The sequence below is a fragment of the Homo sapiens genome, chromosome 11, assembly GCF_000001405.40.
Source record: "Homo sapiens chromosome 11, GRCh38.p14 Primary Assembly".
Lineage (NCBI taxonomy): Eukaryota > Metazoa > Chordata > Mammalia > Primates > Hominidae > Homo > Homo sapiens.
The window spans coordinates 91,576-113,586 of record NC_000011.10 but is presented as its reverse complement, the minus strand read 5'-3'; the positions used below and the strand labels follow the sequence as shown (position 1 = coordinate 113,586).

The window sequence follows — 22,011 nt, the reverse complement described above, 5'->3', positions numbered from 1 at the left end:
TGAACCCGGGAGACGGAGCTTGCGGTGAGCTGAGATCGCACCGCTGCACTCCAGCCTGGGCGACAGAGCAAGACTCCGTCTCAAAAAAAAAAAAAAGTATACCCTGAGGCACACATCAAGCGACATGTAGAGTTCATAAATTCTGGCCAAATGGTCATACCTCAAACCTCATCAGCAGTAAGGCTCTTTACTTGCACTGACAAATATGAACGCTGGGGAATTTGGAAATGATATATAATATATAATATTATATATATAATAGATATATAATATATAATATATATAATACATATATAATATTATATATGTAATAGATATACAATATATAATATATAATAGATATATAATATTATATATAATAGATATATAATATATAACTTTCCATGTGATTTTCCTCTTAATTTTTTTCTAGCTGATCCATATGAATTCCTCTTATTAAGAAAAATAAAGCATCCAGGATTCAATGAAGAACTGACTATCACCTTGTTAATCATTCAGAAACATGTTGCAGGCTTAAGCCATTTTTGATATAGATACTGAAACAATTACTTGCTAAGAGCAAACTTGAAGGTATGGATAAGGCCCTGAGTCATCTTCCTGAGCTGAATGATAGTTAAGCTGAATGTACGTATAAAATATGATTTTCTAACCACTTGCTCGCCAACAAGGAAAACTTTTAAGTAGAGCAGAACCTGAATAGACAAGACATTTCTTTCTTTTGGTAGAAAATGATTTACCATCACTGTGTAGTTAATTGTAGACTAGGTAATTTTAACTTTGTGATTTATTGCCGGAGACATTTTCTTCTGTACTGTAAAGTGTGTGTCAAAAAAAAAAAATAGCGATTTTGGAGGATTAGGGGACTTTGATAAATTGCCTGCAATTCTGGCAGTATGAACTGCATATTAATTTCTCTCTTTCAAGAACATTTTTATTTATTAATTCCTTACAAAAACTCCCTAAACTTTGGAACAGCTCTCAATTGCCTGTATTCTTTTTTTTCTTATTATGGTACTCTTCTAGAGATTTGGCTTGCATCTGTGAATAAGCCAGGACATCTTCAGAAATTGTCTGATTAAAAACACCACCAATGGAGTTTCATTAAATTTGTATTGCTCTGACTAGTGAAACATACACATCTATGTTGCTGAGGATATTTTACTGCAGTTCAAGTTGTAATAATAGCTCTGTTTAAGATCCGTCAGTCACTTGAATCTTCTCTAAGGCTTTGTATGTTAGAAGTTAATTTGCTTTCTTACAAGGCCACATTCTATCTTGTAACTAAACAACTGAATTTTATGTCTTAGCGTAGATGGTTTATTACTTTCTGGTTTTTCTTTAGTAAGAATCCTATAAAAACACTAGTATTTTTCTCTGAGTTTAAAATTCAATACATGCCTACTGATATGGTTAGGCTTTGTATCCCCACCTGAATCTCATCTTGAATTGTAATCCCCATAGTCCCCATAATCCCCACAGGTCAAGGGAGAGACCAGGTGGAGGTAATTGAATCATGGGGGCAGTTTCCCCTGTGCTGTTCTTGTGATAGTGAGTTCTCACGAGATTTGATGGTTTTATAAGGGATTCTTTCCCCTTTGCTCGGCACTTCTTCATGCTGCCTTGCGAAGAAGCTGGCTTGCTTCCTCTTTGTCTTCCGCCATGATTGTAGATTTCCTGAGGCCTCCCAAGCTGTGCTGAACTGTGAGCCAATTAAACTTCTTTCCTTTATAAATTACCCAGTCTTGGGCAGTTCTTTATAGCAGTATGAAAACAGAAAAATACACCTACTATGTAAAACTTAAAATACAAAAAAACAAAACATTATCTCACTAACATAGGAGCTAATATTTTGGTGTACTTTGTTTAGTATTTTATATTAAAAATATGTACATATATATTTATATATAATTAAGAACATGTATGTACAATCGTGCATACATCATGTACATACATCTACTTAAGAAAATAGCTATGTAATATACCATTACTCAACTAGATTATAATTTTTTCTCCATTTCTTTATTGTAATTTATCATTTTCTACTTTTTTGTTTTCTCATTTTTATTGCATAATATTTAATTATGCAAAAAATACATTAAATACATTGAAAATATATAGTGTAGCTATAAGAATAAAGAACGATGGTAAAACAAATGCTAATACCCACTACCTGACTTAAAGAATATGATATTATTTTTTTCCAATTGAAATTCCCTCAACTACTCAGAATTACTGCTATCCCTCTTATCCTTTCATTAATTTTCTTCTAGTTTTCTCACATGTGAATCTATTTCTAAATACATTTCTTTATTTTGCAAGTTTTTGGACTTCATATAAATGTAACCATATTGTATATATTCTTCTTCAGCTTCTTAGTTTTTCACTAAACAATATGTTTTGCTGATACTTACATTCATATGTACAGTAATAGTTGATTTATTTTAATGGCTATATATTATTCCATTGTTAGAATACACCAGGATTTATTTTTACTTATTTTTTTTGCTGGAAAATTGGGTGTCTTTTTTATTTTTTGATATAACAAACAATGTTGTAATCATTTTGTATTTACTTCCTAGGCCACTCCTGTAAGTTTCTCTTGAGTACATACTAGCAATGAATATGCTGAGTCACTGCATATACATACTCACAACTTTATTCTATAATGTAATATTCTGTAAAGTAGCTGTATCAGTTTATACTTTAACCAGTAATGGACAAGATTTTCTGTTACTTCCCATCTTTGTTAATTATTACTTTTAGACTCTAACTTTTATCAGGCTCATGGATGTAAAAAGCATCTCAGGGTGGTTTTAATTTGCATTTATCTGCTCATCTATGAAGATGAGCTTCTTTTCATATAATTATGAGTCATTATTTTTGTTTTGCCTTCTTTTGTTTATGCATTTTGCTTGTTCTATGTCTTATTTTTCCTGTTGATTTTTGGGAGTTCATATATATTCTAAATGTATATTTATTCACTTATATATATGTTGTAAATATTACAGTTTATGATTTGTCACCTTATGATATCATCCAAATAGAGAAGCTTTATATTTTGATGTAGTCATATGTTCATTTTTCCTCCTTAATGTTTGTTTTTCTTGGTTCTATGACCTACAAAAAGTAACAAAAATTCTCATTTATTTTTAATCTAAATGTTTTAAGTATTTTCCTGGAATTCACCTTGAATTGATTTCTATTGGAGATAGGTATCCAATCTAATTTGCCTCATATGGATAACCACTTGTTCTATTACTGCTGTAACAAATTTCTACAAACTAAGTGACCTAAAATAACACAAACTTGTCATCTTACAGTGTACACAAGTCAGAAATCAGGCATGAATTTTAGTGAACTAAAATCAAGTTGTCGACAGTCATGTTTCTTTATGGCGGCTAGGGTAGAATCCATATCCTGGCCTTTTCTATCTTCTAGAGAACATCAGCATTCCTTTTCTCATTGCCTCTCCTCTCTCTTTTTAAAGCTGGCAATGTCACATTTCTCTGACCATTCTTTCATTGTCACATCTCTCTCTGGACTCAGCTAAGAAAGGTTCTCCATTTTTAAGAACTCATGTGATTAGACTGGGCCCATCTGGGTAACCCAGGAAGATCTCTCCATCTCAGTTTGCATCCTTAATCACATCTGATAAGCCTTTATTGCATTCAGTGTAACATATTCACAGGTTCCAGGGTTAGGCATGGGCATCTTTGAGGGCCATTATTCTCCCTACCACATTATTTGCCTAGCATCTTTCATTACATTGTCCATCTATTTACTTACTGATTTCTAATGACATCCAAATCAGTTACAACATTTTATGTAAGCATTGTTTTTATTTTTATGTTATTCCACTAGTCTATTTTTCTACTCATCAATTATGGTACATGAGTTTATTTTTGCAACTTTAAGCTCAATAACATGTTTTAAGATTTCCTCAACTTTCTTTTTGCGCTTCTTCAGAAGTTGACTCTTTTGGCCCTTTGGTCTTCTATACACATTTTAGAAATGCTTTGTTGAGGACTAAGAGGAATGCTAAGATTTTGATAGGAATTTCATTGAATTTTGAGTATATTGGCATGCTACAATGGTTAGTGCTTTATACATGAAAATAATATATCCCTTCCTCTTTTCCTAGTATCATGAGATGTTTGTTAGGCAGACATGAATATTGAGTTGTATCAAATGTGGTTTTCTGCATTATTGTGGTGGTGATGTGATTTAGCTCCTTTAATTAGTTAATGTAATGAATTACATTTGTAGATTGCTCTAACTATTGAAACAAGCTTGAATTTCTGGAATAAGCCCAATGTGATATTTATTCAACAAATATTCATTGAGTATACCTAGTATGTAACATGCTTTAAGAATACACCAGTGAACCAAACAGAAATATCTGACATTACAGAACTTAACATTCCAGTATTTGGAGACAGACGATAAAAAAGTGAACATGTATATTTACAGTTTGTCAAGGAATGATAAAGGAAGACTCTTAAAGTAGATGGGGAATTGGGAGTGAAGTCTGTAATTTAAATAGGGTGGGCAGGAAAGCTTCACAGAGAATGGGACATTTAAGAATAGACTTGAAGGACAGGCAAGAGCAATCTCTATGTTTATATGGGAGAAAAGGTTCCAGGCAGATGCAGTAACAATGGCAAATATCCTGAAGTAGGATCATGCTGGAGTTTTTGTGGAGCAGCAAGGAGGCTAGTGTGACTGCCACAGAATCACCCAAGGGAAGATGAGAAGATCAGACCAGACCAGCACTTGGGCATCTAATGGGAAAAGTTTCTCAAGCCATCATAAAAATTTCACTTTTACTATAAATACTACGAGAAACCATGGGATGTTTTACAGTAAGAAAGGTGGCATAATATGTTACATGTTTTAAACAAACTCTATAGCTTCTGAGTTGAAATAGATTGTAGGGGCTCATGGCAGAAGCAGAGGGAACATTTAGGAGACTACTGTAAAGAATATCATGAAAAGAACAAACAACGCTATGTAACATGCTTAAATGGACTGAAGAAGATGTATAAAATCAAAATGATGTTACCTTCACACCTTGAATCAGTACGATAAACCCCCCTCCCCAATCACAAAAGAAAAACTAAACACAAAAACCAGGCTTTGGTTGCTCAGACAATTTTACAGGTGAGTTCTAGCAAACATGCAAAGAACGTTTAATTGCACTGTTACAGAAATTCTTCTGGAGACAAGAAAATAAGACACATCACCCAACCAATTTCATAATAACAATGTCAATGTATAATAACAGAAAAAGTGGATCTCCAAAGAAATAAATTTATTTGGAAATAAACAAGGATTATAATCTGAGATATTTGTGCTATGATCAATCATAGGTGCATCCCAAGAGGTTGAGGTAAGGAAAATATGTAAAGACAAAAAGAAGTCCATGCAAGCTGTTTTGAAACAAACATCATTGGTCACAGGATCTGATGCAGGAGCTGGTGTTAACTTACTGGCAGAAACAGCCATTGCTAGGCAAGTGTTCTTGTGAGGGTGGCTTATCTGAAATGCTGCAGTCTTGAGGAATTTTTTATGATAGGTCCTATTATAGAGACACCTACAGTATGAGCTGGACAAACAGAGTGTGCTGGGTGGGCAGAAATTTCTTGTGAGTTTATAGAAAGTCCTTGTGATAGTGCTTATCGTGGACAGACACACAAGATCCCCTTTTTCATGACCCGGCTCCACTTTGCTTTGGGTCTGATGTAAGTGACTTTGCCTTGTCATTGGCAACTTTCACTGTAGTATAATCTGCACATCAAAGTTACCTAACAATAGTACAAAGAAAGAAAATTAAAGGTATATCTCTTTCAAAAATATAAACCCCAAAATTGTTAGGAAATTGTAGTGAGTATAAAAGATAATTCATTATAATAAACATCTCAAGCTTCACAGAATTCTGACCTTTGCTACACTCTCATCCACAATCTTTTCTCCTAGTAAATGGCAGCTCCTTCTGTTAAGTTGCTGAGGCTTCTTATTGCTTTTTTCTTCAAATAACAGTCAGAACTGAACAACTGTAATCATCCTAGTCCATACAATTGTTATATTTTCATTTAAAGAAGATCAATGTGTGATTCTTTTTTTATATATTTCTGGACAATTCTTTATATTTTAATAGTAGTCAGAATTTGATCAGGAAAACAGAAGACATCCTATGTATTATAATGATAAAAGTTTAATATTAATTAGGGCCTTATGCTATTATTGGAAGAGCTTGGTGAATAGATATTAGAAAAGCAGCTAGACAAAATCAGAAGAGGTCTGTTTTATATCAGAGATCTTAGCCTGACAGTCTAGAGTGTGGGCACAGAACCCAAGCTTATAGGAATTTCTGAAAGGTCTGTAAATCTTATCCAGATGGACAGTGGGAGCTCATAAAGGATTCTGCAAGCCATCACATCTGTCAAACCTGCTATGTCTAATCCTTAAGCCTGCTTTATTTGAAGACCTCCTCTTCACTCCTCATTTCCAGCTCTCATGAGTTTCTTTCATAGGCAAACCCAGACCTGGAACAATGTGCCTGAAGACTTCGGGTGACACAGTACCCAGACTTAAATAGGAGGGGAGCCATGGTGGAAGTGGCCATCCAGCACAATTTTCTTGGTCTTTACTCATAGTTTTGATTCCTTAAAAAAATTAACCACATTAAAATATGTGTTTCATAATCTACATCTAATAATACAAATATTTAAAGTCTTTTCAAGTTTGAATATGCTACCCATGTTGCTGCTACCCCCATTTTGTGTGTGTGATTTTTGTGTGTGTGTTAGAATCTCATGACCTTTGAAACCTGCTCTTATGAGCTTGCTTTGATGATTTATTTGTCCAGAGAGGATTTTTTTTCCTACCTAGCATTTTGGACTGCTATCAACCTGAGACCACTTTGAATTAAATTCTCAGCTTGCAAATTTGGAAGCCACACAGATTGTGTGAGTTCAGGCTGAAACCTGTTTGAGAGCTGGATTCTGGCTATAAACTCCACAGGGAACATTTTCTCTCTCCACTCAGAGCTGAGACCATAGGGAAATTTATTTGCTAGCTCACTTTGAAGGTTTATTTTATTTATTTTTTAAATTTCTAGTACACGTGCTCACTGAAGGTGTAATACTTATGTGAGAATCTCAAAATCAGTTGTGTTCTTTGTATGACCCTGGTTTTGTTTCCTCCTGCTCTCTTACTTTCAGTGTGTCTCAGTATGTCTGCTCAATATGTCATCTTAAATTTCAACTGAGGGTGGATCTTCTTCCCAGCTCACTCACATGGTTCTTAGCTAGATTCAGTTTCTCTCCATTTGTAGGACTGAGGACCTCAGTTCTTCACTTAGGGTTGGCTACAGGTAATCATCAATTTCTTGTAACAGGACTTACACTGGGCCACTGACAGCATGCCAGTTGGCTTCATTCAAATGAGAGGGCAAGAGAAAGAGAGAGAGGGAGAGGGCACAAGATGAAATTCACAGTATCTTATAATCTAATCTCAGAAGTGGCATCTCATTTCTTTTGTTCTATTCTATTCAATAGAAACAAGTACCTGGGACCAGCTTACACTATAGGAAAGAGATTATATAAGGGTATAAATACCAAGAGGTAGAGATCATCAAGAGCCATTCTGGTAGCAGCCACAATATCTTATCCAGAATATTTCTTATTCAGGCCTTCAAATGTGCTGTCTTTTCTGGTCTAATGGAAATGAACCTTCCTTCCATACAATTTCTTCTCCTAAATTGTACTCTGGCTCTCTTATCATATACAAACGTCTATGTTAGGTATTTGTGTCTGTCTTGATTCTTGGTAGGCTTTTAAACTCTGTGAATGTTGGACTGTGATGTAGACATCATTTCACCGCACACTCTGTAACCACCAAACCTTAGCAGCTTATTCAGTAAGCACATACTTGGCTCTTAATGAGTATTGCTTAAATTGATGAATTGAATTAGTATTTTACCTTCTCTGTTGCTTAGCTAAGCAGAAGAATTTGTCATTTTTTTAATTTAGTGACTGGTTCTATTAAAAGTTACCTTTGTCTATATCATTTTGTTATACTAAAGCACAAATGTATAAGGTCAAAAAACATTCTCAAGATTTTGTTTAAACCACAGCCCTCAGTTGTGTATATTTATCTCTTGTTTTCATATGCAAGATTTCTCCTGAAATGGGCAACAATTACAAGAGTTTTTTTCCTCTTCTGAACTAAGAAAATAAATATTTAATTCACAAGTTTAGAAAAGTGAACCTGAAAAATCACAGGGCTAGGTGGGTTATGAGGCCCACTGGTACATGATAGTGTTGAATGTGGATTAGAATGAACTCCGTGGATTAGAATCTCAGACCATAGGCAAACATTTACTTGTTTTAGAATAAGCACATTTGAGTCTGCAATAAGTATTACTATTTTTAAGTTGAAAATGTAATTGGTTTCTAATAATAACCATATTGGCTAGCATTATTTCAATCGTGTTTAATGTTTTCCAATGTCATTTCATGTCAGATATCTCTCTTGATTCTTAGTAACAATTTGGACAAGACAGCAAATGCTATTGTCCAAGTTTTCTAAAGAAGAATCTGAAGTGAAATGACATCAAGAGACCTATCAAGACCTGTATCCAGGAAAAGGTAAATCTGAGCTGAAATTGTAGCCCTTGTAAATTACCTACGTGACATACCAGATAGTGTTCATGATCCATTCAGTACTCTGTTCTAAAAATGAGACAATATCCATTTATTCACTTGTTCATTTATTTAGTGATTGTTCAGCCCTTACTGCATATTCCAGGCACTATTCTGACTGTGGCAGGAGTGAACAAACAGGCATGGTTCTTACTTGCATGTAATTACAGTCTTATAGTGAAAACAAGTGTTAAACAACAAAATCTCCCAATTATTTTAAAATTATAAACTTGATTCGATACTATGTGGCCATATAATTGTTCCTAATTTGGTTGGAGAAGGGAGGCAGTTAGGGAAGCCTTCCCTGAGTTAGTGCCATTTAACCTGAATTATGATAGATGATAAGTAATTTGTCAGGGGAAAAATACTCCAGGAATAAAGAACAGGTACAAAGGTCAGGTTCTGGGAAGAGCTTGTCTTGGTCCAGGAGCTAAAAAATGTTAGAGTGGCTGGATCTGGGAAAGAGACAAAGAGTTATTAAATGAGGCAGCAGGCTTCAGCAGGTGCCACATTGCTCAGGGCCTTGTAGGCCATGCTAAGGATTTGGGATGTTAATGTCAGTACAAACAATTGAGTCGTAAGCAGAAAGTAAAAGCATGATTCCATCAAATGTTATTCTCTAAACAGTAATTTTATAAATACAGGTTAAATGTGTGTGGTCCCAGCTACTCAGGAGGTCCCAGCTACTCAGTATTCCTTTTCAACAAATATTAGGTGCCTACTATTAGCCAGGTACAGCCCTTAGCTACTTTGAATGAAGCATATATTACAAACTGGCAGAATTTCTTAAACAAAGAATCTAAAGTTGTTTATACACCATAATCTCGGTATTTTATAAATTTCTTGAAATTATTTTTATGTACACTGCTTTGCAGAATTTTAACTGGCTTTGAAATAAACAATGACAATAGTCCTCCATGTTACTAGTTTCAAATTTTCCCAATACCTACTAAGACATTACTTAATCCACAGATTTACTGTCAATAGTTTGTATCAAATTGTGATAACATATTTGAAGTTAATATTTCAAATTAAAGCAAAATCACAAATTTATACTTTATATTATGAATGAGATTCACAAAAGGAGCATGATAATATATTCTGTTGTCATCGCATACAAAATAATAACATATAGAGTATGAATCAATAATTTTTCAAATACAAAGCTATTACAATTAGGAATACAAAGAAATCATAATTAGGAATACTTCTACAATATTAACACACAATAGTGGTAACACTTGCAAAATGATGGTGGTGGTTTTTTTTTTTTTTTTTCCCCGACAGAGTCTTGCTCTTGTTGCCCAGGCTGGAGTGCAATGGCATGATTTTGGCTCACTATAAACTCCACCTCCTGGGTTCAAGCGATTCTCCTGCCTCAGCCTCCCCAGTAGCTGGTATTACAGGTGCCTGCCACCACACCCAGCTAATTTTTGTATTTTTAGTAGAGATGGGGGTTTCACCATGTTGGCCAGCCTGGTCCCGAACTCCTGACCTTAGGTGATCCACCAGCATCGGCCTCCCAAAGTGCTGGGATTACAGGTGTGAGCCACTGCGTCCAGCCAGTGGTGGGTCTCATATCTCAATGTGGACTTTTACTAACTCCCAATGCCTCAGTTTCCTCATCAATTGAAAGGAATGAATGAAAGATTTGTGTTTTTCATATTACCAGGTAGATGATAAGGAGATTTTAATTTTCTTTTTTTTTAACTTTTATTTTAAGTTTAGGGGCATTTGTTACATAGGTAGACTGGTGTCACAGGGGGTTATTGTACAGATTATTTCATCATCCAGGTATTAAACCTAGTACCCAATAGTTATCTTTTCTGCTTCTCTTCCTTTTCTCACCCTCCACCCTCAAGTAGACCCCAGTGTCTGTTTTATTCTTTGTGTTCATTAGTTCTCATCATTTAGCTCCCACTTATAACTGAGAGTATGCTGTATTTGGTTTTCTGTTCCTGCATTAGTTTGCTAAGGATAATAGAAGGTCCATCCATATTCCAGCAAAAGACATGATATCATTTTTTAATGGCGGCATAGTATTCCATGGTGTATATGTACAGCCTGCATATAAACTGTGGGCTAAAGACCTTCACCAGAGCAGTCTGACAGAACCTCTCTGAAAGACTTCTCCTAGGCTGTAATCCTCAGTCTCTTGTTCTCAGACCCCTAAATAAATCTAACTTTAATTTCTTAAAAGCTTAATTTTTTTCTTTAGTTGACACCAAAAATCTCCCCAGCCAGATCCACAAACTTTTTCGGTATTTTTCCTATTTTTTATATCATTCCAGGCAAGCGTTTTCTAACTCTCCCATCAGAATATGACTTTGGTGCCTTTTCCTCAGCCTCCACTGATGATTTTTTCTCATTATCCTTAAAGCCCTTTCCAGTAGACTTCTTAAGCTCTTTCAAGTTTTCAGTCTCCTTAAGGACCATTCAGTGTTTACTGTCAGTTCCCAGAATGCTTTTACAGGTTTTGCTATCATTTTCCTTGAAGTCTGTTCACTTTTCACTAACAGTCTTTGTGAAATCCTTCTGGCTTCTATCCATTGTCTGATTCCAAAGCCAATGCCACATAGTTTAAGTTTATATTATATTAGAGTGACATCTTATTCCACGTACCACAAACCACCTCAAAACTTAGCAGCTTAAAACAACAAACTTAAAAAAAATTGTGGACTTGTATTAGTGCAAGCAGGGCTTAGCTACATGATTCTGCTCCGTGTGGTATTAACTGTAGCCATCTGTGGTATTCAGCTGGCAGCTGGGTAGTCTGGAGAGTTGAAGGTGGCTTCAGTGATGTGCCTGTTTTATTAGTGGATTGGATGAAATGTTGTGGTAAGGTGGGCCTCTCTTGCTCTCCGTGTAGTTTGAGAGCCTGTCTACATGATCTATTCAGCAGCAATATGGTTTGGCTGTGTCCCCACCCAAATCTCATCTTGAATTGTAGCTCCCATAATTTCCGTGTCTTGTGGGAGGGATCCAACGGGAGATAACTGAATCACAGGAGTATTTCCCCCATACTGTTCTCGTGGTCTTGAATAAGTCTCACAAGAGCTGATGATTTTATAAGGGGGTTCCCCTTTCACTCAGCTCTCATTCTGTCTTGTCTGCCATCATGTAGAGATGTGCCTTTTGCCTTCCACCATGATTGTGAGGCCTCCCCATCCACCTGGAAATGTGAGTCCATTAAGTGTCTTTTTCTTCATAAATCACTCAGTCTCAGGTATGTCTTTATCAGCAGCATGAAAACAGACTAATACAGTACATTGGTACTGGTAGAGTGGGGTGCTGTTGTAAAGATAACCCAAAAATGTGGAAGCGACTTTGGAACTGGGTAACAGGCACGGGTTGAAACAGTTTGGAGGGCTCAGAAAACGACAGGAAAATGTGGGAAAGTTTGGAACTTCCTAGAGACTTGTTGAATGGCTTTGACTAAAATGTCAAATAATGATATAGACAATGAAATCCAGGCTGAGATGGTCTCAGATGGAGATGAGGAACTCACTGGGAACTGCAGTAAAGGTGTCTCTTGCTATCGAGAGAGACTGGCAGCATTTTGTCCCTGCCCTAGAGATTTGTGGAACTTTGAACTTGAGGGAGATGAGTTAGGGTATCTGGCAGAAGAAATTTCTAAGCAGCAAAGCATTCAAGAGTGACTTGGGTGTGTTAAAAGCACTCAGTTTTAACAGGAAAACAGAGCATAAACGTTCAGAAAATTTGTAGCATGACACTGTGATAGAAAAGAAAAATCCATTTTCTGAGGAGAAATTCAAGCTGGCTGCAGAAATTTGCATAAGTAACAAGGAGCCAAATGTTAATCGCTAAGTCTTCAGGCCATGTCAGAGATCTTTGTGGCAGCCCCTTCCATCACACACCCAGAGGCCTAGGAGGAAAAAATGGTTTCATAGGCTGGGCCCAGGGCCCCTCTGCTGTTTGCCTGTGTACAGCCTAGGGACTTGGTGCTCTGTGTCCCAGCTGCTCCAGCCACAGCTAAAAGGGGTCAAGGTACAGCTCAGGCCATGGCTTCAGAGGGTGCAAGCCTCAAGCTTTGGCAGCTTCCATGTGGTGTTGAGCCTGTGGATTCACGGAAGTCCAGAATCGAGGTATGGGAACCTCCACCTAGATTTCAGAGAATGTATGGAAATGCCTGGATCTCCAGACAGAAGTTTGCTGCAGGGGTGAGGTCTTCATGGAGAACCTCTGCTAAGGCAGTGGGGAATGGAAATGTGGGGTTGAAGCCCCCAACACAGAGTCCCCACTAGGGTACTGCCTAGTGGAGCTATGAGAAGAGGGCTGCTGTCCTCCAGACCCCGGAATGGTAGATCCACTGACAGCTTGCACTGTGTGCCTGGAAAAGCTGCATACAATGCCAGCCTGTGAAAGCAACCGGGAGGAAGGCTCTCCCCTGCAAAACCACAGGGGTGGAGCTGCCTGAGACCATGGGAACCCACCACTTGCATGAGTATGACCTGGATGTGAGACATAGAGTCAAAGGAGATCATTTTGGAGCTTTAAGATTTGACTGTCCCACTGGATTTCGGACTTGCTTGGAGCCTTTAGTCCCTTTGTTTTGGGTAAATTTTACCATTTGGAACGGCTGCATTTACCCAATGCCTGTACTCCTATCTTATCTAGAAAATAACTAAATTGCTTTTGATTTTACAGGTTTATATGTGGAAGAGACTTGCCCTGTCTCAGGTGAGACTTTGGACTGCCAACTTTTGAGTTAATGCTGAAGTGAGTTAAGACTTTTGGGGACTATTGGGAAGGCATGATTGGTTTTGAAATGTGAGGACATGAGATTTGGGAGGTGCCAGAGGCAGAATGAGGTGGTTTGGCTGTGTCCTTTCCCAAATCTCATCTTGAATTGTAGCTCCCATAATTCCCATGTGTTGTGGAGGGACCTGGTGAGAGATAATTGAATGATGGGGTGGCTCCCCCATACTGTTCTTATGGTCGTGAATAAGTCTCATGAGAGCTGATGACTTTACAAGGGGCTTCCCCTTTCACTCAGCTCTCATTGTCTCTTGTCTGCTCCCATGTAATGCATACTTTTCACCTTCTGCCATGATTGTGAGGCCTCCCCATCCACATGGAACTGTGATTCCATGAAACTCTTTTTATTCATAAATTACCCGGTCTTGGATATGTCTTTATCAGCAGCATGAAAATGGACTAATGCAAGCAGAATAAGCAGAATTCTTCGATACCGACTCAGCACCCCACACACGTTGGTTCCAAGATGTAGAAATGGAAGCTTCAAGGCTTTTAACATCTGGACATCAAAACTGGAAGTTTTACTTTCACTGTATTTTATTGGTCAAAGCAGTCAAAGAGCCCACCCAGGTTCAAGGAGAAAGAATATGTCCCCACGTTTTCAACAGGATGGTGCCACAAAATTTCTAGTCATCTTAATTCACCACAGATAGAAATATGAAGAGCTCATTTGTTATGTTATTTGTGAATGCAGACTAAAGATATTTGTTGGTTTATATAGTAGTGGGAAAATGAGAACTTTTAAAATATTCAACTTTTAGCCCTTGACATGCAAAATGAGTTCATTACATGGTAAGGATGAGGGAGAAAGAAAAGATCTGAAAAAGTAGAAGAGTGATGGATTCAGAAAGCATAGGATGATTGTCAGTGTGATTGTTTTATCTAGCCACATATAGCTGTGTGGTATCAAGATGTAGAAGGCAGAGAGTAGGATTTATCAGGATTGTTGTTTGGAAGAGTGAGTACAATCATTACGAGGGAGCAAGGTATTGATCATGGAATATAAAGTGGGAAAAGAGGTAAGGTAAGAAGGATATCAGTAAAGTGAATGACAGCATAAATATGGTAGAACCATTGGATTGGTGGCTCTGGAGGAATTGAATAATTATTAGACTTGAAGCATTAGATGGTGCACTAGTGAGGGCATCTCCAACTAAGTCTACCATCAAGTCATGGTGATTTATTATCTCAAATATATGACAAATTTATCTACTTATTTCCAAAACTCCCATATCTAGTTTAAGTAATCAAATTTCTTGCCTTGGCAAGCATGTTGCTTTGTAATTGACTCACCTGTATCCAATTTGAATTCCTTAAAATCCATTCTATACATTGTAACCATAGTGATATTTACAAATGTGAAATCTGGTCAAATCATTCTTCTGCTTAGTAGTCTTGGATTTCTCATTCTCTTAGGAAGCATCTTCCACTACTTATTTCAGCATTATCTGCACAATGCTTCCCCTCACTTCCTCACAATGTGGTTTCAGGCACAACTCCCAAGGCCCCACTCTGGCCTCGGGGAGCAGATTGTTCCCCCTGCAGGAAAACCTTTGTTCTCCACTCAGTTAACTGCTGTTTACCCTTTAGATCTCAGCTTCAGTGTTGCTTTCTTAGGGGAAACTTCTCTGACTCACATCAAATCCCTCTCTTATAGTAATTTTCATTGTATTTCAGAGTAATTTTTATGGTTGCAATTTTACATTTGTGTGATTGTTTGATTAATCTCTGTCTCCTCCACGAAAACTCCAAGATGCAGGAACTATATCTTACTGGCATTCAGCACAATACCTGGCACATAGGTGTTCAAAAAATACTAATAGGGTAAATAAATGAATTAATTTTATGCTTTTATTTTAATATTTTCATGGTATTAATATCTCTCTATGTGATATTTTGTATGTACCTATTTTCTTTTAATTTGAAGATTTATAGTTTAGTTATGTGCTGTATAAATTATATTTAGTTCTTTAATTTTTGTGTTATTTCCAAGGGTGCTCTCCATTGACTCTTTTAATATAGTTCCACTTTACCCCTTAAACCCACTTTCCTCTCCCACCTTCGTCATTCAACTTTATTTGATTTTGTTATTTTTAATTTTTCTAATAATGACCTTTATCTTTTAAAATAATATTTAATCACCCATAACATAATTTGTTGATTCTCTCCCACTGTGAAAGTTGAATGGACCAGAATATATTTCTACTATCTTTCTCTTCTTATTTTTGTTATGAATATAATTAGTCTTTATACAGTTATGGTTTGTAACATTTGCATTCTGTTCTTTAACCGCAAACCCCAGAACATTTTGATATTAGGCTTCAGAATGCTCACTTGTATCATGTTATCTCTATTCATTTTTAGTGGATAGTTTTCTTTTTTAAGTTTTTCTGATAGAGATGGGGTCTTGCTATGTTGCCCAGGCTGGTCTTATCTTGAACTCCTGGGCTCAAGTGATTCTCCTGCCTTGGCCTTTCAAAGTGTTGGGACTGTAGGTGTTAGCCCCTGCGCCTGGCCTCTAATAGTTGTCTTCATTAAAGCCTCATGGGGACTCTATTTTTTTTTTTTTTTTTTGTGGGTTGTTTATTTTGTGTTTGTGAAGTCCGGTAAATTCAGTTGCATCTGCCTTGATGTGGTCATACTATAACACATTTTTTCTGGATAAAGATAAGCCCTTTAACCATTAGATTCAATGTTTTCTTCATTTCAGAAAAGTTTTCTTTTATCTTTGAATTTTTTAACCAGATATTGTGAGCTCTTTCACACTAATTTCTCATTTGTTGGACCTGACTTTAATGTTACATTTCACCTTCTTGTGTTTTCTATTTCGTTTTGCTCAGGATATATTTAAGCCTGTCATTTATATTCTTATCTGTGTTTTTAGCAGCATTATTCTCTCCACTTCCCACTTTTTTTCCTGCTTTTATTGATCTTCATTTCTTTCATGGTTGTCTTTACTCATTACATCCTGAATTTTGCCAGATTATTTTTTATCACTTTATTTTGTATTTATTTTCAATTATGTCTTCTAAATATCATTTCAGAGAGAAAACATTTTAGAGAAGGCATATTTTTAAAAAACATAGAAAATTTGATCCTGTTTTTTACTGCTTCATGGTATAATTTGTATGTTCTGTACCTTATGTAATTTTCCCTTTTTCTTCTAGTATTTTTATAAAGGTCATCAAGTTTTATTTTTGTAATACAATTATTATAAATAATTATATAATATTATTAGTCTTTGAATATTCTAGATACTTGTGAAAGGATATTGTGGAGGAGGAGCTGGGGGTAGTAAGTATGATGGAAGGCAGACGAGTTTTGGAATCTTGTCTCCAAAACACTCTCATCTGTTAGAATGACTCCTAGGCTATAGGATTGACTATGGCTTAGAGTGGATTCATAGTTGTTAATTTCGTCATGTGACTTGTGACTTATCCTTTTCTTTTCATAATAGAATGAAAATTGCCATCTGTCTGGCTTCTTCCCCATCTTTTTGCCTTCTTTCATTACACCACACACGTGTCCTAATTATTCCAAAGGTGATACATTTGCATGTTTCCCTTTAAACTCCTTTCCCTCTGTCACTCTGTGGAGGGTTCACATGCTGCAATATTTCTGTTCCAAGTAAAGATCACAGGTTTTGATCCTCAGTCCTCAGTATACACACCTCTTTTAGGGATTTCTGGGCTTCTTGACTAGCTCAAGCTCTTCAGAGGCATGCACTTTATCTTGGTGTTCAGTCTTGACTGGTTTAAACTTTTGATGTCCAGAAGGTTTTCTTCATGTGTTGTTGTGTGGAATTGTAAATATTTTCTAGCTTTTGTAAGGTTGTGGCTCATATTTATATTTCTCCTGGTTTGAAAGAAGAGAGAGAAAGAAGTATGTCAAATTGAGACTCTTAGATTGGAAATCTGAATTTATTTACACGATTGAGATTGATCTAGAGTTTTATTTTTTCTGCTGTAACTGAAATTTGGATTCAAGATTATATGTGTTTTGTGAATATGTTTGGTAACATTGTGACTTTTCTATAATTTAGGGAAGTTTGATGTAGGAGAAAGAGAAAAAATTTTTGAGAGAATCCTAAATTCATATATGGCCTAACCTTTTAATATCTATGTAATTTTAGATAATAAATAATTTGTTTGAGATTATGTGGCTCTAACAACACCTGCTTCACAGTGTAATTATGAGGATTTCATAGAATTTGTATAGTGAGCGTTAGTTTTGATGTTACTTTAAACCTCTTTGCCTTATACATTCTATTTTTTCCATGGAACATTATATGATTTCATGTCCACATATTAATCTCATACTTTCAATTACATTTTATGTTTAAATTGAATATTATGGTAATCGTTATGCAAATGATTAAAAATTTAAAGGGACAACATTTAATGTTGCTCTGGAATTCACCTTTAGTCATAAAATAAAGATTTAAAGTATCATCTGTAGACAATGGCAAAAGCCCTTTTTTGTCATAAGAAAATCAAATATGCTTTATTTCACCCAATTAACATGGCTATCCCGGGAAAACCAAAATGACCATAGGCGGTAATTCCCCAGGCCGTGTGATCTCAGTCTGGCATTCTCGGATCTCCAAGGCATCACTTTGGCCACTACCCTCTGGGGCTGTGATTAGCAGCTCTCTTCCTGTTTTATGCAGCTCTGTGTGTATGTCTGCAGTGATGCCGTACTGGATCTGGTTCATCTTGTGAGAACTATACCTATCTGAATTTTTGATGATGCTCTTTTCTTAGTTCCCTTGGCAAAACAGGTAGGTGAGGGATAGAAATAAAATCTATACTTAGTAAATCGGTGAGCCAAGGTCTGTGACTGGCAATGAGTGAATTACATTCTCCTCAGTTGGGTGCAATGTCTGCCTTCTGTGTGGCCATTTGCTGTTGCCACTAGAGAAGGAGGATGCAGCAGGGATCAGGCACCGTGGAGAAAAGTCGCCGTGTGTAGGCAGCTAAGAATGTAGGAAAATGAACATCTCGGCTCCCAAAGGACGAGAATAAAGCTGTAGAAGAATGTCAGGGAGGAATCTGAGTTGATCGTATGACTATTCATCCTTCTTCCCACATTTTCCCGACTGTTTAGCCCTACTTTTCTTCGCGTTGGGTCTCATTTTCCTTCCTGTGTGGCCTGTGCCTTATGGTCAGCGCGGACGTCCATCAGTCTATCAAATGCCTAGAAACCTTTCGCCCTTTGTCACCTTCTGTGTCACCCAGCATTCCCCTTCTCAGCCCTTTTCATTCTCATGGTGGAATCCTTTTGGTTTGATTTCAAGGGTCCAGCACTGTTGATGTCACAACAGAGTGGCATGGAAAGTTTCTGAAAATTTTGTCATCTAACCTCTCGTGGGGACTTTTAATTAATTCAGCTTTTGACAACTCCATCACATTCATTATATTATCCATTCATTCATTCATTAATACATTTGACATTTATAATGTGTGCCAACAATGTGCCAGGTCAAAACTGCCCACTTACAATGTAGAACATTTCTGTAAATTTTATTTCAATTTTCTTGTATTTCTTCTCCTTTATTCTACCATCCCACTTGATCTTCTGCCACAGAAGTTCTCTTCTCTCTCTCTTTGTTCTCTCTTCTCCTCCTTTATTCTTGATACCTGCTTCTGTGTTGGCTCCTTGAGGCCAGCACTTGTCCTCCTACCTCTGTGATGTTCTGTCTAGTTTATTGATTCCTTTTCCTACTTTACATAATCAATGTGGATAGTTTCTATAGTTGGGTCTTTGCTTTTTAATCTTTTTTTCCTGTGTATTATTTCCTTCAGGGACCTTATGCACTCTTACACATCCGTCTATTATTTTTATATGGATTACTATACAATTACATGTTGAATTTGTACTTTTCCCCCATATATCCTGTCATATGTTTTCACCTGAGCATCTCAATATCTAATACTCTTATTTGCTTAAAATACACGTGATTATTTTCTCCACCCTGACATATTTTATGTTCAACTTTCTAATTTCTAAAAATGGACCTACCATTGTCCTATTTATTCTTGCTTAAATCTTGATATTTTCTTTGAGTTCATGCTCCTTCGTATTCACTCCAGCTGTGATAAGTCACCAATCCTTTGGGTTTTTACTTACCAGTATTTCTATTTCTGTTTCTATAGCCTTAAAGCTGGAACTGTGGGCCGGGCGCGGTGGCTCACGCCTGTAATCCCAGCACTTTGGGAGGCCGAGGCAGGTGGATCATGAGGTCAGGAGATCGAGACCATCCTGGCTAACAAGGTGAAACCCCGTCTCTACTAAAAATACAAAAAATTAGCCGGGCGCAGTGGCGGGCGCCTGTAGTCCCAGCTACTCGGGAGGCTGAGGCAGGAGAATGGCGTGAACCCGGGAGGCAGAGCTTGCAGTGAGCTGAGATTGCGCCACTGCACTCCAGCCTGGGCGACAGAGCGAGACTCCGTCTCAAAAAAAAAAAAAAAAAAAAAAAAAAAAGCTGGAACTGTGTAGTCCCAGTTCCTCTGTGTAGCCCCCCAAGTCTGCTCTATTTCAATCTTCTCTTAAGGGAACTCCTTCCCTCCGTTTTTCTTTTCCTCCATTTGATACATCACACTTATAGATAGGGCATCTTCCCTAATTACTGGCTTCATCCTCAATTCCCGGGACCCATACCTTCACTGGCTTCCTAAATTTATTTAATAATTCTCATATACCTTTGAGAAGTTTCTAATGATAGGCAACAAATGAATATTGACTACCTTTCTTATTTTCCTTTATTCACCAAAATGATTTTTAGGATGTAGACAATCTGTATGCTTCAACATACACCAAACTTACCATTTTTGAAATATTTTACAATCTACTTGAAAAGACTTCTTTAGACCCTATATTCATGTATTGTAATATTTATCCTCTTTTATGGCTATACTCAAATGCCACATCACTATAGTGCCTTCCCTCATCACTGTAGCTATCTCTTTTCACTCTACTTATATTGTAGAGGATTTGTTACACTTCTTGAACTGCTGATCTCAAGCGATTTGCTTGCTTTGGCCTCCCAAAGTGCTGGGCTGACAGGCGTGAGCCACTGCACCTGGCCTGATTTGTTCCACTTCTACTATATGCATCACACATGCCTGATGCATATTTTAATGCACGTTGGATAAGGATCGGCTTTGTACGACTTCAGTCTTTCTTGATGTGTGACACCCACTTCTATTTTGGCTCCACTTTAACAAAATGAATAAGTGAGAAGGTAATACTGGAAACAGAACATAACTGTGACTAGGAATTTGGTCTTGACTCGCCATTTAATTTTCTGATGTGCATGACTGTTTTCTTCACATGTGAAATTTAACATGAGGTTGAAACTGGAGAATTTTATATTTTTCATGAAAAAGGCAATTTGGGAGAAAAGTCCATTTTCCTGAGGATAAGGTATTGTATGGTTTGACTGCTTTGCCTTGGCTGGTCAACACATTTGTACACCTGGATAGGCACAGTTTTCAGAAATCCTTTCAAGCATCTACCAATTCTCCTGTCTACAAGTTTACCTTCCTCCCATTTCTCATTCCTAATGACAAGGGAAATATCCAGTGTTATCTGAAGTGGTCATAAAAGACATTTTTTTTCTTTTTATGTGAGGAATTGAAACTTATGGCTTTAGATTATGGGGCTTACCATCAAGGAAAGGGTGTAGCGTGGTCAGAGGACAAAACTTCTTCCTGCATTTCTCAGGAAGTCTTTGATTAGTGTGTCCACCTAGGAGCAATTTTTTTTGGGGGGGGCACTGGGAAATATACTTAAGTGATTAAATCCAAGTGTAGACATGAGAGCTTTACCTAAAGCCAGGTCTAATTACCATACCTGAGAATCAGGGAGTATTTAAAATTTGAGAAATAATTTTCTATACTTGAAAGTCACTTATGTAGGTAGGCCTCAGATTATAATAAATAACGTTTATTGTGCTATACTGTGTGGTAGGTATGAGGTTAAGTATTTTTACCTATATTATATCACTTATTTCTTACAAATGGAGCAAGGGAGCAAGCAAGCAAGGGAGGTATTATTATCCCTATTTTATGTATTTATGTATTTATTTTTGATTTCTATTCTTTTGGTTTTTTTGTTGTTTTTTATTGATGTATCATAGTTGTACATGTTTTGGGGTACATGTGATATTTTTGATACATGTATACAATGTGTAATGATCAAATCAGAGTAATTTGGATATTCATCACCTCGAATATTTATCTTTTCTTTGTGTTGGGAACATTATAATTTTTCTCTGCTAGCTATTTTAGAATATATAATAAATTATTGTTCCCTATGATTTCTCCATTGTATAATTGAATACTAAAATTTATTATGTCTATCTACATATCCCCAGTTCAATAACTATAATTTCTCTGCTGTGCAATCAAATACTAGAACTTCTTCCTTTGAACGCTATATCCCTAATTCAATAACAAGTAAACTGAAGCTCAGCATGGTCTAGGAACTTTGTTACGTTAACACAGCAAGTGAGTGTTGCAGCCTG

General features: G+C 36.7%; 1 annotated feature.

Moving 5' to 3' along the window:
• Nucleotides 2,551-2,751: a silencer, noted in NCBI's record as "peak1141 fragment used in MPRA reporter construct". NCBI's record gives its function as "represses an SCP1 promoter by STARR-seq MPRAs in K562 erythroleukemia cells {active_cell/tissue: K562}" and the evidence as "EXISTENCE:reporter gene assay evidence [ECO:0000049][PMID:32103011]".